This window comes from Homo sapiens, chromosome 5 (genome assembly GCF_000001405.40).
Source record: "Homo sapiens chromosome 5, GRCh38.p14 Primary Assembly".
Classification (NCBI taxonomy): Eukaryota; Metazoa; Chordata; class Mammalia; order Primates; family Hominidae; genus Homo; species Homo sapiens.
Window position 1 is genome coordinate 60,596,558 of NC_000005.10, and position 12,103 is coordinate 60,608,660.

Consider the following 12,103-nt stretch of genomic DNA (forward strand, 5'->3'; position numbering starts at 1 on the left):
TGTAGGAGGTATTTTGCTACAAGAGAACAGGAGCAAATCTTAAGTGCAAGGAAAAATCAGTCCAAGGAGTACTGTAAGCCAATTAGTGGGTGTTGCTCTCAGCTTTCTGGGTAATTGCGCTCAGAGGAAGACTTTCAGATGCTCCATAATCCAAGTGCACCACAATTTTACAAAAGGACAAAGCAATGCTAAAAAATTGGCAAAGTGCTCACCTAAAGACCAGTCAGTACAAAAGCCCAAATCTTACTTTTCATTTTCTCATAGAAATAAATGACTGATGAAGACCATTGGCAAAGGCATTTGAGGATGCTCTCTAACTGATCTAAATAAATGCCAAAAAAGAAACACGAGGTATGGCATTTTTAAAAAAAATAAGTTTATTTACATTTCACTTACTTTCAAAAGGATGAAAATATATTTATAAAGGAAGTAGTCTCATTTTATTTAACCCATTTGCATTTGACTTAGAATCAGAGGTCTAAGGGTACCCAAAGAATTTATCCAGTTCAACTTTCCATTTTTAGCTAAGACTGAAATTATACCATTGCAGGCAGATGAAAATCTACTCCACTTATAGGTAAACATCAACTAATATATATGTTATAAAAACACTAGCTTTAGTAAAATCTGTCATAACATCCAATAAATCTGCAATAAAAGACATAGCTATCACAATATAAGACATTAAAAAATTTATGTGCAGCAATAAAAACTGGAATTTATACAGGAGAAATGATAATTGGCTACTAAGTCAATAGCATCACAGTAACAGTACCCAGTGTCTTTCTTATTCAAGTATACACGCTATTTTTAAGACTTAAAATTAAGTCTTAAGGCTATAATAAAGATATCAGTAGCTAGGATGTATATACACAATTATTTAATAAACACCATGAAAAAGAAAGCACAGAGATAAAAATACCCTTAAATTCTGTAGCAATTACAAACATGTTAACATTATCACTATATATTTGACTCATAAATTTTAACCAATTTATACACTTTAAAACTAGCATTGAGTTTTATAAAAATACTAATGGCCAAACATTTTTAAAAACTAAGGCAATCTTTATCTATATTTCAGTAGTCTTTGTTTTATGCTTTTCTTTCTTCCACCACCAAAGTCTTTCTCCTAACCACCATTCACTCAAAACAACAACAGTGGTCTCTAGCACCTGTTGCTGTGGAAGTATTATTACATTCGAAAACTTCTAGTTCTTTGAAATGGTTGGAAAGGCTTCTTTAGTGCCCACATTAGCAGCTGTGGTTTCGGTTTGGGTTTTTCAGGAAACAGAAGTGCTGCACTTTCTGGTGTAGGAAATCGTTCTTGATAGACTTCAGGATAGGATTTCTGAAACTAAAAAAATGAATGGTCCAAGAAGAGTAAAAAAAGACACATAAAAGCCAATAAAATTTGGCAGCCAAATTTTAAGAGTTTCTGAGCCTGTATTTTCCTGTTTTTGTTTATTTTTGTTAAAACATTTCATTCCAATTTCTATAGAGCTAATCCATCTTTCCTTTGATCTAAGCTTCAAATAAGTTCCCCTTTTAATCATGTTTCTGAAAATTCCCCCCACTGCCAACTATAAATAGACCTCACTTTTTATATATTCACAAGTAACTCTGACTTCAAAATAACTTCTGTTCTACACAGTTAAATAAAATTTTGGCCCAATTACATTTCATCATTTCTCTGTTTCTCCAACTCAGCCCCACCAGCTTCTGCTCAAATGGAAGAGGGAATATTCTGGTGTATATTACTTTGTGAAAAGCTTAAAAGAGAGGCAGTATACTTTCTGTTGATCTTTACCACTAAACTCTCCTCCAAAATTACTCTGAGAATAATATGATCAGAAGCCCAGAACTCTGGTGCTCTGTGTGTAATCCCACATGTACGGTGTTCCCTGAATCCAACTATGTAGAGTTCAGTCTTTAAAAACAAAAACCACTCACCTGATCATGGATCAACCTTTATGAATAGTCAAAAGTAACATATTGTGAGTTAAAAACGATTCGCTGGAACCCTAAGCTGTGTTCCCTAACATAAGAGGAACTAAAAACTTGTACTGATACCTGAGGCAAGAAACTAATTTGATAGTGGCTATCTAAAACCAACGGCTTTTAAACTCTAAACATTTTACACCTGTGAATTCCATCTGATTTGCCTTTTGAAAACATGAAAAGAAATCCACCCTCACTGATAGCTTCTCTGAGATTAAAGCAGATGCTCTGCTAATTCACATCATGCCACATACCAAAACAAAGGACAAATATTAGAGAATAGCTCCAAAAATGAAGAGTTTGGCAATGGTAACAGATTTACACTGAAGAATAAAGATCTAGGATACTGACCACAAGTGTGTAAATCAGTGAGACTTCTAGAATGTATGAACTAATATACTTAGAAAACTGCTATGGCTCAGAAGATGAGATTTACATGAAGCCTATTAAAATAAAAAAAAAAACATAAAAACAGTAGGGAGGAGAAAAAATGGCTTATAAAGAATATCCTTTTACCTGCTTCAGTTTCTTCTTTTTCTCTTTGTTGGAGAGTTTGGCATCTGTTATGACTTCCTCCAACAAGGCTGCCAGAGGTTCCTGAGAGCCATATGATCTTTGATATTCAAATTCCTCTGGACTAATTTGACGGCAAAATGATGGAGCAGATAAAGTGATATCCATATCAGCTCCTGGGTATTTTATCTGAGGCAAAAGGATTAGTAGTGAAAGAATATAGCATATTTTCAAATAAATTATAAGAATTAGTTTAGATCAAATACAGGATATCTCCTTGTACCGTAGCAATGCCATGTTAGTCCTCAAAATTTGATTGGGGGAAACTCTATATTGAAAAGTAAAAGTATTTCCATAACTTCAAAATATTATTATTTAAAGCCACGGTTTTAAATTGGATTTTTACCTTTGTAAACCCAAGAGCCATTTCAATAACAAAAAAAGCTTGTGCCCTCGTTGGGAACAGGCCCCAAAACTGGCCATAAACAAAATCTCTGCAGCACTGTGACATGCTCGTGATGGCCTTGATGCCCATGCTGGAAGGTTGTCCGTTTACAGGAATGAGGGCAAGGAACACCTGGCCCACCCAGGGCGGAAAACCGCTTAAGGCATTCTTAAACCACAAACAATAGCATGAGCGATCTGTGCCTTAAAGACATGTTCATGCTGCAGATAACTAGCCAGAGCTCTTCCCTTTATTTCACCCACCCCTTTATTTCCCATAAGGAATACTTTTAGTAAATCTTATGACTGGCTTGCTGTCAATAAATATGTGGGTAAATCTCTGTTCAAAGCTCTCAGCTCTGAAGGCTGTAAGACCCCTGATTTCCCACTCCACATTCTATATTTGTGTGTGTGTGTGTGTGTGTCTTTAATTCCTCTAGGGCCACTGGGTTAGGGTCTCCACGACCGAGCTGGTCTCGGCATTCCCTCTTTTAACAAGATCTGAAATTCAAGCATAAATTAAACACATTGACTAAAATGATTCAAAACATTGATAATGTTGGATATCCACTGGAACTATCCAGGCGCATTCCCACATCTGAAGAGTGTGATTCTCAATGCCTTGGGGATGGTAGTGGCATGCATTTAGCTAAGCTTTTAGGAAGAGAGGGGTACTACAATCATTTCCTAACATCTTACCCATGAGAATCAAGTAAAACAACAAAGGTGCAGACATTGCAGAAGGGATAAGGGAGAAGAGAGAAATAAGAGGAAAAAGGAAACCAAGGCCTGTGAATAAATGAACATACATTAAAAATATTTAATTTCAGAGCCTGGAGTCCTTTGAAATAGAAGGTTGCAGATGAGGATCATAGAAGGCTTGTGTCAAAAACATTGCCTACCTAATAATGTATCCCAGGGTCAGCCCTGAAACTGTCCTAAAACAATCACTGGAATAATCCAAGCAACACTGCATTTTCAGAGAAGCACTCCCCTAAATGTGATACAGTGTAGAGGCTTAGGAGCCTAATCAAAAGAACAAAGATCTATAGGTTCTGAGGGCTGAATGGAACAGGTGCTTGGCAATTCTAATATGTACTTGCAAGAGAGAAAAGGTAACTGGACAAATGAATCACTACTGATTTTATTCAGAGCACACTGCAGTGTCTCTTAACAAGATCATGTTTACCTGCAGTTAAATTAATCACCATAGCTCAGCCTTCTGAACTTCAAGTAATAGCAAAGGGCTCACAAGGCTAAGTTACTACAATATATGCCTGTGCTATGCATGTGAATACACAAACCTAGCAAGTATACAGGGCAACACAGTTATTGCTTGATATTGTTTGGCTGTGTCCTCACCCAAATCTCATCTTGAAATGTAGTTCCCATAATCCCCTTGCTGTGGGAGATGGGAGGTAACTGAATCACAGGGTGGTTCCCCCCATGCTGTTCTTATGATAGTGAGTGAGTTCTCATGAGATCTGATGGTTTTATGAGGGGCTTTTCTCCCTTTTGCTCGGTGCTTCTCTCTCCTGCTGCCTCATGAAGGATGTGTTTGCTTCCCCTTCTGCCATGATTGTAAGTTTCCTGGGGCCTCCCCAGCCATGCTGAACTCTGAGTCAATGAAACCTCTTTCCTTTACAAATTACCCAGTCTTGGGTATGTCTTTATTAGCAGCATGAGAGCAGACTAATACACTGCTATAACATTTCCTTGCAGAAACTTGGTGAAGTATTTCTGTTCATTTTTATTTTCTTTAGGGTTGGCTCATAAAAATATCAGAGGAAAAAATTAAACTAAAACAGCAGTTAAAATTACACTTTTCACCCATGCAAGTGGCAAAGATATATACAAGTGTTAATGATAATATCCAAAGTAGGCAAAGGGGCAAAGAAATGAACACTCTCTTATACCACTGACAGAAATGTAAATTGAAATGATCATTCTAAATTTGGCAATATGCTATAGATACTTAAAATATGTTCATGGCCTTTGGCCAAGCAATGCTGCCCCTAGGAGTTTATTCTTAAAAAATAATCACAGATTAGCCAAAAAAAATCTACCTTTAAAAATATTTACTGCTATATTGCTTCCAAAATGGGGGAAAGCATGAAAACAATCTAAATACCAACCAAAAAGTATCATTTAAATAAATTATGGTATATCCATATTATGGAATACTATGTTGCCAATAATATTATTATGGAATAATATAACAATAATGATGATACCAACAACAAAGGCAGCTACTAATTGTAGGTTTACAATGTGATAAACATTATTGTGAGCATTTCACATGTATTAAGCCCACATGTATTTTAATCACATGTTTTAATTCCCCAGAAAAACTCTATGAGGTAAATATTAACTACTATTATTCCCATTTTACAGATGAGAAAAAGAAATGTTGGGACAGATGTTGAAGCACAGACATGTTATATAATTTGCCTAAGGTGACACAGCTAACAAAAGGCATGTCATGAATTCAAAGGCTCCTGAGTCTGTGCTCTTGGCCATTCTCATGCCAATCAACAATATTTAATGATGGGGGAATTTTTTTCTCATTGTTAACAGAATGTAAGTGGCAGGAAGGGAGGCAGGCAGGAAGGGAGGCAGGCAAGAAGGAAGCAGGGAAGGTGGGAAGGAGGGAAGGAAGGAAGGGAGGGTGGGGAGGGAAGAGAGAGGGAAGAAAGTAAGGTAGGCATGGACATAGACAGCAGACAGACACAGAAAAAAAAATCTGAAAGACTATATTACTGACTATGAACATTTTAGTGTAACTCTGATACTTTTTGGTGTGTTTTTTCTATATTTCCCAAGTTTCTTCAATGTGTTAGGTTGATAATTGCAAAAAAATAGAAAAAATTTTAATTTTAAAATTGCCTTCTAGAAACAGCTGGACAATTAATTATTTTTGTAATACCTCAGAAGGAGGCAGTTCACTGGTCCTTGATTGTGGTGCCTCAAAAAGATCTCAAATGAGAAGAGGTCCAATCAGTCAGAAGGAGTCAAGTGGACCTTCTGCCTGCCTTTACCAGGTTTCTGCTCCCACAGGCTGACATACAAACCCCACTTTGGGGTCCACACGATAATAATATATTATATTTCTTTTGCATTGTTTTTATATAACCACCATGACAACAGCAGCAGCTACCTTTCAAAGAATACCTGACATATGTCAGAAATTCATCCTAGGAATTGTAAAGTACAGTGTTCTAATCTTCACAACTTTATAAAGAAAGAATAGCCCATTTTAACGCCTGAGGAAAGAAAGTAAAATCCAAAGCGGTTAAGGGACTTGCCCAGAGTCACACGACAGAAAGGATACAGCTAGGAATTTGGCCAGGGATTCATGGCTCTCATGCCAGTGTTCTTCTACTGTACTATGATTTTTAGACAGGCAATATGGAATGATAGTTTAGAGCACTGATTACAGAGGCTGACTGCAACAGTCAGAATTCTGGCTCTGTGGCCTTAAGCGAAGTTATTTAAGTTCTTTGTGCCTTAGCTTTTTCATGCAAAAAGTGGGAATATTAAACTAGGTCACAGGGCAATTATGAATCAAGACACTTACTGCACATAAAATCATTTCCATCAGTAGGTGTATGTAGATTCTAAACAAACTCATTCAAGGAATTAGCAATAAAAAATATGCCACATGGATTGATACACAAAACCAAATGTGCATTCTGTAAACTTTTCAATGATAATACAAACACATGCAGGGGATTACTATGTGCCAAGACCTGTTGTAAGTACTTTATAAACATTAATTCACTTAATCCTCATAATAAAATGCCCCAAGAAGCCTAGCAAGCTTACGTGACTTTATATTGCCAATTTCATAGAACTGATAATATCCTCTCCTTTACCTGGACTCTTCGTAGATGAGCCACACGCTCCTCTATAGAGGTCTGCAAGGCCAAAGGGACTTTCAGAATTTCCTGGTAATTGTCCATCAGAAACGTTACCAATCTAGCAGCTAATAACTCATCCAAGTCCACTTCATCCTTGGAACACAAGATGCAACGGGAAAATGTCTGAACCATCTAAAAAAAGAGCGGGGTGGGGGGTAAACGCAGATGAGTATTTTTCTGAACTGAGTGCAATCTAATTTGCAAAAGGCAAATATGAGAAATGGTCTAAGGCACAGGGTGCATATTCTACCAAGAGTACCCAGCCATCTCAGATGGGTTGACGGTCTCAACAACCAGAACAAACAAAATGTGCATCTTCCTGTTAAGAGACTGCAGAGAGATGCTTATCTGAGCAATTTTTAAACCTCCTTTTACACGATTTTAAATATACATATATATATATATATATATACACACACATACACACATATAAATATATGAAAACAAATTTTGAAAATCATTATCACCATGACTTGAATCATGTAGCACTACTAAGTTCAAAGCACTTTATAGCCATTTAGTCAATTATTATTTATCCTAATTTCATTATTGATTTGTTTTAAACCGCTAACACAGTCCACATGCCTCAACCATTACATCTTTTCCTAGTTAGCTTATTTTCTCTAGGATTTTCGATGTATATTTGACAATCATCTTTGAACAAAGCCATGGGACTTTTCAAGAAGTACATTAAGTGATGAGACTCTCTTTGAGGCAAGCAGAAATGCAAAATATATTATAGCATCAATGTAATAATTTCCATAGAATTGAAATTAACTATTCTTTTTTTTTTTTTTTTTTTTTTTACGGAGTCTCGCTCTGTAACCTATGCTGGAGTGCAATGGTGTGATCTTGGCTCACTGTAACCTCCGCCTCCCAGGTTCAAGCAATTCTCCTGCCCCAGCCTCCCGAGTAGCTGGGATTACAGGCGCCTGCCACCATGCCCAGCTAATTTTTGTAATTTTAATAGAGACGGGGTTTCACCATGTTGGTCAGGCTGGTCTAGAACTCCTGACCTCAGGTGATCCACCTGCCTCGGCCTCCCAAAGTGCTGGGATTACAGGAGTGAGCCACCACGCCCAGCCTAACTACTCCATTCTTAATACTGTTCTTTGGACTGGCTTTTGTTTTGTTTTGTTTTTTCCTACTACTTTTATCGCTGACAATCTTCCTTCAAAATCTTTAAGCAAAAAATCATGTAATTCTGCTTAGTAACACTTCATTAACACACTGCAAATGATCTTCACTTACATTTACATGTACAGAGAGACACACAGGCAGAGAATTTTTTGCCTGGAGACCATGGACCCCAGGGACTCTGTGATCGCCTTGAAACTGCATGCAAAGTTTTGCATGTGTATTTTATATGCAGAATAGATATAAAGTTTTCTTCAGCTTTTCAAAAAGGTCTATTAGCCTCTCTAACCATCCACTCACTCCAAAAAAATATAGAGATCAAGAATCCTACTGGGCACTAAGTGCTCCTCTGATCTCACTCTATTACTTCTAAAACTGGGCCAGTGAATCCCCAGGGAGTACACGGTGTTTTAACAGGATATGGAAAGCACATACATTCCACTGAAGCACCAGTTTTGCTCAAAGACATTTTTTGAGGAAAATCAAGAGATTTTGCTAGTAAGTAAATTCTAAAATAAACTCTCTTTAAAAACATATGCCAATAGAAGCAGAGATTAGATGGTAGGTACCACAGGCTGGGGGATACAGGGACATGGAAATAGATGTTGGTCAAAGGGTACAAAGATCCAGTGAGACAGGAGGATCAAGTCTTAATGCTCTAGTGCACAGCACGGTGACGACAATTATAATAATATATTGTATATTTCAAAATTGAGAAAAGAATAGATTTTTAATGATCTCATTACAAAAAAATGATAAGTTGGTATGGTAATGAATCTGTTAATTAGCTTGATTGACTCTATAATGTATACATGAATTAAAACATCACATATGCAATTATTAGTTGTCAATTAAGAATAAATTTAAAATAATTTTAAGTGGGAGAACAGGATGTAGCAGATCTCTCTACAGAGTCTGCCCCTACTCAAGTCTCCATTTCTCATTATGTTCTTTAAGACACTTAGAACAAAAGCACGACACAAGTCTGGGTGGACACTGACTGTGGCTCTTTTAAGCAAGTCTGCTTTGTACTTCCCTCTGATCACCCAAACTAATACACCTTACTCAGTCGACTTTCATTCCAAAAAGTCATACCTGATGTTAAAAATCAACCTACCAGTGTTCGGGTACCAAAGCCATCACACAGGGGTGGCATCTCTTTGTTTAAGCAAATCCTTGCCATCATCCTCATCAATAGCTGTAACTTTCTCCTATTTTCAGGAGGTAGGAGAAGGCAGCAAATCTGAAATGCTTCAACTGCCACTTTCTCCTTCTGTAACAAACCTGATTTAGAAAAAAAAAAATGTTATCTTTCAACACCTATAGCCTAGTAGATTCTATATGGTTGTATTTTAACAAAATATATATTAGTAAAATTACATAAAATATTTTCACATATTCAACTATACTGGGTCAATTGAATATAGATCCATTGTCACTCACAAATCACTATAGAAAATACAAACCATCAACCAGGCATGACAAATATATAGAACCAAATACAGCCATTTTCTCCTCCCATACACTAGACAGATATATCTCAATTTTCATAGCACTCTTTCCCGAACCAGGAGCAGCCAGGCTAACACTATCATAACCCTCAACACTCACGTTGTTAATAAGTCCAAAATAGCAAGAACGTGAACGTGTCATCACTCCCCTGAATTCTCCCCTCTGTATTATTTCCTCATTATCAGCAGGCTCACCACCTTGCATGACTCTCAGTGACTAAATAAAGGACTGATGCCCACATAGTCAGTCCACTGCCAAATGGCTCCCCTTCTTTCTAAATAATGCCTTTCAAATAACCCTTCTTTCCACTTAGGCTATCTTTCTTAGTTAAGTGTGCTGATTCAATCATGTTATATGCCATCCTTCCTCATCTCAGGTATGATTTTGCTAAAAGTTAGGATATTCTAGCCAGGCACAGTGGCTCACGCCTGTAATCTCAGCACTTTGAGATGCTGAGATGGGAGGATCACTTGAGGCCAGGAATTTGAGACCAGCCTGGGCAACATAGTGAGAACCCATTTCTACAAAAAAAAAAAAAAAAAAAAAAAAAAAAAATTTAATTAGCCGCCATGGTGGCACACACCAGTAGTCCTAGCTATTCAGGAAGCTGAAGGAGGAGAACTGTTTGAGCCCAGGAGTTTGAGGTTACAGTGAGCCATAATGGCACCAGCCTGGGCAACACAGCAAGACCTGTCTCTTTTTTTTTTTTTAAAGGATATTATAATATTGCTCTCTTTTTTACTATATTTGTCCCTGGACATACTTATATCCAAGCCCTCTAATGAGGTAAAACTGCTTCTATCAGTTTATCTGTCCTATATCCAACCATTTCAAGTTACCACTAGTCTTTGGAAGGCAAAAAACATCTTTTACATTGAATAAGTATTTACTGACCATCTACAATATACAAGAACTGCGCTAGATCCCAGAAATACAAAGATATACCAGGCCTCTTCCTTTGAAGAGCTTATGCACTGTGAGGAGAAACCCATAAACAAATAAGTGACAAATGAAAAGCAATGCAAGAAATATCTGCAAGGGCCACAGGAGGGGAACTATAAGCCACTCAGTATGACATGCAGTTATGAGGGGAATGACTTGGTAGAAGTAAAGCTAGAAAGATCAACAGAGATGAGGTCTCAGAAGGCCCTGACTGCCAGAGGAAGGAGATTGGGTTTGATCCCAAAGGCAGTGGATGTGCATGGACGGGAAAGGAGGGCAGAAGACAGATCTTTTCTAGACCAAGTGCTGATCCTAGACGTACTCAGGAATGCTGTTGATTATATCACTATCATCTATGTAGACCTGTTTTCAATTCCACATCATCAAATCATGGAAAGAAAAAAGGTTTATGATAATATTTTAATATATTCTTTCATTTACCCAACAAATATTTATGAACCCCCACCTGTATTCCAGGAACTGTATTAGGAGGGGACATGCAGTGAGGAATAAAGCAAAATCCCTGTGTGATCTCATGGAGCTTGTTTTCCAGAAGATAAAAAGCAAAAAGATATAGAAATACAAGGTCAGGCAGAAAGATGCTATGGAGAAAAATACACTGGAGAGGAGCTGGGGAGTGAGGGGATGTGCTCCAAAAAAAACACTTCTATCATTTTCAGGAAGGCCCTCTCTAAGGAGGTAACATGTGAGCAGAGATCCAAAGGAAATGAGAGCAAGCCAGGGAAATACTGCAGAGACAAACTTTCAAGGTGGAGGGAATGGCAATTACAAACATTGTAATGTGAGAGCATGCTGGGAGTGTGTGACGTACAGGAATGCGTCCAGCATCAAGAGACAGTGTGTGTAAGGAAAACACAAGTCAGAAATCAGGTTAGAGAGGCAGCCAAGGGGGCAGATCATGCAGAACTTTGTAGGCTATATCATTAAAGACTGAGGGGTTCATTATAAATGACCTGAGAAACCACTGGTGGGTTCTGAACAGAGGAGTCACTTGATCTGAATTGCTTTTTACTGTGGCACCTGTATAGCAAATAGATTGCAAGGGGAAAGCAGGGAAAAAGGAAGACACACAGTATGCTGATGGTCTGAATGGGGACGTAGCGGTTGAACTGGTAATAACTAGTTAAATTCTCTTTCTCCACAAAGCCATCTAGTTTTTCTGTAAAGCCTTCTATCTCATTGTCCCACAAATCCCTTCTTTTTCCAAATTAAAAATCCCTTTGCAAAGGCAGATTTCACCTTATCCTTACTGCATTGTATCTACATTGCTTTATGAATGAGACTACAAGCTAACCGAAAGCATAATGCATTTATTTTGGCAAGCCACATTTCCTAGTATAATACAAGGCAAACAGATAAACACTCAAATACCTATTTATCAATAGACTATATATTATATTATATTATATTTATTATATTATATTATGTTAATTATTAGCCAGTATTATATGGCTACTAAATGATAATTTTTGAAGTTATGCAACAATATTAGTAGTACAATATTTTTAAAAAATAAAAGCATGCTGATTATAAAGCCTTTATGAAAAATAATGTATTAAAAAAGAAATATATTTTAAAATTAAGAGTACCTCAGGGCTGTAAAATATCAGAAT

The 12,103-nt window shown here is 37.2% G+C and overlaps 1 protein-coding gene across 6 annotated transcripts in view; it reads right to left on the reverse strand.

Moving 5' to 3' along the window:
* Positions 1-354: 354 nt before the first annotated feature.
* The window catches only part of DEPDC1B (DEP domain containing 1B), a 103,255-nt gene continuing 91,506 nt past the window's right edge, over positions 355-12,103 (reverse strand). For 2 of the 6 annotated variants that reach the window (NM_018369.3, XM_011543509.3), the window contains exons 8-11: positions 9,133-9,299; positions 6,834-7,010; positions 2,518-2,703; positions 355-1,357 (exon numbers count right to left, since the gene is read on the reverse strand). In NM_018369.3, the coding sequence (NP_060839.2) occupies positions 1,196-1,357; positions 2,518-2,703; positions 6,834-7,010; positions 9,133-9,299 (692 nt within the window). In that variant the 3' untranslated portion in view covers positions 355-1,195. Of the gene's footprint in view, positions 1,358-2,517; positions 2,704-6,833; positions 7,011-9,132; positions 9,300-12,103 lie in introns of those variants that run through there. The other 4 variants (NM_001145208.2, XM_047417369.1, XR_007058609.1 and 1 more) reach the window with 3 other exon arrangements.